This window comes from Homo sapiens, chromosome 2, assembly GCF_000001405.40.
Source record: "Homo sapiens chromosome 2, GRCh38.p14 Primary Assembly".
Taxonomy (NCBI): Eukaryota; Metazoa; Chordata; class Mammalia; order Primates; family Hominidae; genus Homo; species Homo sapiens.
In genome coordinates this window covers 228,650,638-228,655,876 of record NC_000002.12, presented here as the reverse complement: position 1 = coordinate 228,655,876, position 5,239 = coordinate 228,650,638, and the positions used below count along the sequence as shown (strand labels likewise).

At 36.1% G+C, this 5,239-nt stretch overlaps 1 annotated feature.

Annotated features, from left to right (window-relative positions):
• Positions 3,647-3,816: an enhancer, noted in NCBI's record as "experimental_57077 CRE fragment used in MPRA reporter constructs". NCBI's record gives its function as "activates a minimal promoter by MPRAs in K562 erythroleukemia cells, with activity observed for both the introgressed and non-introgressed 2:229516862 variant alleles {active_cell/tissue: K562}" and the evidence as "EXISTENCE:reporter gene assay evidence [ECO:0000049][PMID:34662402]".

Below are 5,239 nucleotides of genomic sequence, written 5' to 3'. Positions count from 1 at the left end.
GAGCAAGATGGGGTAGATACAGAGAGGTGAGAATGAACCATATTGGTTTGGAAAAACTAAGAACACCAGTAAAGAGTAAAAAAAAAAAAAAAAAGAAAGCACTGATGTGTTATTTTTAATCACACACAATAATTATGTCGAACAACATCAGGATTTAAGATAATAGGTGTCAACATTTTCAAGATAATAGCCAACTATTCAGCCTCAACTTCTGAATCCTGGGAGATGAAATGTCTGGATGCTTCTGTCAGTTATGAAGTGGTGGTAATGAGTCACAATAAGGCAAATAGTAAAATAAGGAGGAAATCCCATGGCCAGGATGTGATGGACAAAGGAGAAAAGGGGGAGGACATAAGCAAGGAGAGAGAGCAAGGGAGGGTGTAGAGAAGAGTATTAACTCTGCATATTGTGTATTAACTACACCTTCCTTGTGGAATCCAGTCTTATTCTGATTGCAACATGTTTAAGTGTGTGTTTGCGGGGAATGGACATGAATGAATGCCCAAATTCCTTCCCACTGGTGGGGTACATGCGAGCATACCTGAGCCAGTGAGCATGAAGCTCATGTGAAAGACTTTCAAAGGACTCTCACCATTCATGAGACTGCATGTTGCCACTGTATGGTACCACTTTCAGGAATGAATTTCAGTTTTAAGTAAACTAAACCTCTTGTTTAAAGGAACACATCTGCAGTAGAGAAATAAGATTAAGCCAGCAACATTGACCTCTATTCTGAAACCAAAACAGTTGAAGAAATTTATAAATAAATTATCCAGAAGAGGATGGATGGGATGGTGAGGGAATTCAAAATCATGTTCTCTGAAGACCTTTTTTTAATTCTTAAGGGATGTGGAGGTATTTTCCCTTAAGAGAAGGATCATGGGAGATAGAAGTTTTGCCTTCAAATATTTGAAAAACTGTCATGTGGAAAGACTAGATTAGTCATCTGTGGTCCTGGCAGGTGAACTAATACCTGTTGTGGGAGTTATGAGGAAGTAAACTTTGGTTCAGTATCAGGAGAGGTTTTCTGACAGCTAGTTTTCGACTCTTTGGAGCAGCATTTGTCATTGGTGAAAATCTTCTAAGCTTTTACATTCGGCCTTTATCATTTCACCTCTTAGCTCTTCCTACAGACTGCTTATGGCATTGGTCAAAATAAGAGCCTATTCCCAGAGCAGCATGAGTTTCTAACTTTGCATAGAACACCACACAAATAAATACTATGTACTTAATCAATCACATGGAAAACTGATGCCAAGTATTTTTTTTATCACGAAGACAAGAGTCTTATGCCAACCTGGTAGACTTCTAGTATGCAGCTGAAAAATGCAGAGTTTTTTAGAAGGTCAAAGTCTCCTTTCTTGGACTCTTCCTCCTGGAGTAGCATTCCTTGTACCTGAGTCCTTAAACCACTTTTCAGTTCAAAACCCGAATCTAGGACAGCATTTTAATAAAAGGTTAACATTGAGTAGTTGTTAAAACCGCATGGTTAAAGTTCTTCCTGAGAGTAAAAATGTACTTTCAAATGTTAATTAATTCAACATCTTATGAATCCTGACAGAACAAAATAGCCAGCACGGAAAGAGCCATCACCACCCTCCACCTGAAAAGTTTTCCTGTGGGAAATGCTAAAAAGGATTCATATTATAGCTGTCAGTCCTTTCAGTTTTGCTTGTGTTTTGGCATTATTCACTATGTGTATATTTTTAACAGCAGCCCAATAGCCCAACACAAGAGAGTCTGAATGCTTTCCATAACAGCACCGACAAGCCGATGGCCCAGAAAGTAAACACAATGCTTCTCACCTCTTGTGCCCTTTAGTTTATCAAGGTTTATCACATGAGAGCCAAAGACCTTGGAGGAAGGCCCTTGCATTCTTTGCCTTTTCAGCAAGAAAAGTCATAGTCTGTAGAAGCAGCGAACTTTACAGAGCTTATCTGATTTTTGGCTCAGGGACTCATTATAAAAAAAAAGAAGGACATCGATCAATCCATTTTGAATAGGTCAATATGGAACACTGACAAGAAAGAAATGTTGGGTAATAAATTAATTGAAAGCTCCAAGTAGGGAATTATATAACACAGAGGTAAACATATAGTTTTATGTCATAGCTACATGACATATACAAGTTGAAAATGCAATTTACACGTGTGTTTTATTTAGTAGCCTAACAAATGAAGCAATTTTGCACCTAATTTTAAAAAATGCCACAAGTAATCTTGGTTGTTTTTTTTCCTCACTTTTAAATCCCAATACATTCATCAACACTCTTTTTGTCAACCCTACCAGACCCCACTCACACCTAAAATCTCAAATAATATCCAACTCGAAGAGATTTTATAAGGATTAGATGAGGCAAAGGTATAAAACATATATTCAAGTTGGATTAGCACCTAACACATAGTAGCTATGCAATAATTGTACATTTTTTAAAAGTATCTAATGCCAAATAAAAGAGGTGTCCAATGTCAAAATAAATCCATATAAGGCCACATGGATAGAAAATAATATTTTCCATTTAAAAATGTCTTTGTAGTTGGGCTTCTGAAAAACAGACTCAAAGTTTTTTGTTTGCACTATATAAATCCAAAGTCTGCTATAGTTTCATGATTTATGATAATAATTTTCTCTGTTATTATATAATGCCTCATTATATAATGACCTCATAATTCAACAATATTATATCAATTACTTTTTTAAAAATCTCCCATTGAAAAACTATGAGGCTAAAATTCAGGGATGGCTCAAATGTGATGAATGTGGGTGGGCACAGTTTTTAGTTACCTCTAATACAATCCTGAGACATTTTGTTCTAAAACCTGTTTGAATTCTATATTAAAGTAATTCTTTTTCATTTCCACTATCATAGATTTCAAAAATTTATAAAGGAGTTAAAAATTGCCTTTTCTGATTTTAAAACATCATGAATATCTAACTCATGAATATCTAATAAAATTATAGCCCAAAAAATCTAATAAATACAGAATAGGGCATTTTAAAAGTAGGTTCCAACCACTGAAATGAATCAATATTAAAATAGGGTTCTGCCATGACTCAAAACAAGGCAGCTCTAAGGGAAACCATGGGATACACATAAGTTCTATTTATTATCTTTCTGATCTGTGCCTTTCTCCCATTCAGAGGACCTCTCCTCATTCCAGGTTCTCAGGTGCTTATACTCTATCTTTCCAGCCACCATATCTGTTCTCAGTGAAGGATCAGCATTCCTTTCTACTGATACGCACATTTCAGTTTAGAAGTGTATCTAAGGATCAGTAGTAAATTCCTTTCTACTGATATGCACATTTCAGTTTAGAAGTACATCTGGTAGTGGTTAATTGCTCTGAATTATAAAAAGTTTAGTTTCAAATCCTGGAAATTCCACTTATTATCCGTTTTACTTGTGTCTTTTCTGGTTATTGAAAGAATGCACAGGACTCTTCAATATATATTCACACAAGACTCACTTGTAATACCAGGCATATTGTTTCATTACGTGTTATTGAAATTGTGCAAACGACTCTTTATCCTTTGTCAGCCCTGCAATATGGTAAGTGGGCACTTTGTGAGTGATGAAGCAGATGATAAATTCACTGTATACTTGCTTTGGACAACAAAATATTATATACATCCTGGCATGTGCAGGAAAATGAATTTCTTAATCAGATGATATCTAACCTGGAGGTTCAAAAGGAACGATATTTTCTGCTTTAGTTTGATCATGTTTAAAACATTTGTCACCATTAGAGGGGATGCAAATCTAAATTCAGAATAAATATCTATCCCAGTAAAAACCCATCTGCACCCCTCCACAGGCATAAAGCCAATGTAATTCACTTACTACCTAGGCGCAGGTCTGGATTCTCTGGGTATGCAAGCCCACATCACATCACCCTTCAGTCTTTGATGTCACTCCGTGATCCTTTCCGAAGAATGGATGATGGCACCCACTTGTTGGTTCCAGTTCTCCTTCAAATTTGGGAAGGTTTTTCTGACAAGCATAACATATTATCTTCTTTAACTCTCCTTTTGCATGTTCATAATGCTTTTCAAAACATAGTACATCACATGAGGTTTTCTTATTATCTAATTATATAAGGCTTTTTTTCAGAACGTATTACTAGTCCTTTGGCTATGTCCCAGTAATCAGCATAATTCTTAACTACATCTTCCTCTTCAGGCTCTCCTCTTCCTCTTCTTCCTCCTCCTCCTCCTTCTCCTTCTGTTTCTTCTTCTTCTCACTATCTAGTTCTTCCAATACCCTTAGTGTTCTTAGTACCTCATACTGCTTAAATTTATCTTTTCCTTTTTCAGTCAGAATATAGCCATAAATCAGTTGTAATACAGCTGACTTCCAACTAAAATGTTGACCCTCTATCCATGAGCTACCATCAGAAAACCATGCTAACTCTTTTTTTTCATCCTCCAGTAATTGGCCAAATGTGGGTTCCCACTCACTTGTAGGATTAGGTAAATCAGAAGGATTAAAGGCATCCCTTAAAAGCACAGTTACTATTCATGTATGCAATGGATATCTCATATGGTTACCTCTGTTACATGGTCCATATTTTACTCTTCCCATTTAATGAAGAAAAACCTTTGTTTTTAACTTTTTTTTTCTAAGTTCAGGGGTACATGTGAAGGTTTGTTATATAGATAAACTTGTGTTGTGGGGGTTTGTTGTACAGATTATTTCATCGCCCAGGTATTAAGCCTAGTATCTATTAGTTATTGTTCCTGATCCTCTCCCTCTTCCCACCTGCCACCCTTTGATAGGTCTCAGTGTGTATTGTCCATGTGTTCTTATCATTTTGCTCCCACTTACAAGTGAGAACATGTGGTATTTTGTTTTCTATTCCTGCATTAGTTTGCTAAGGATAATGACCTCCAGCTCCATCAATGTTCCTGCGAAGGACATGATCTCAGTCTTCTTTATAGCTGCATATTATTCCATTGGCATATATGTACCACATTGTCTTTATCCCATCTATCACTGCTGAGCATTTAGGTTGATTCCATATCTTTGCTGTTGTGTATAGTGCTGCAATGAACATACATGTGCATGTGTCTTTATAATAGAATGATTTACATTCCTTTGGGTATATTTACATTCCTTTGCCTACTTTGTAATGGGGTTGTTCATTTTTTTTCTTGTAAATTTGTTTAAGTTCCTTATAGATGCTGAATTTTTGTCCTTTGTTAGATACATAGTTTGCAAAAATTTCCCGTTTTTTAGGTG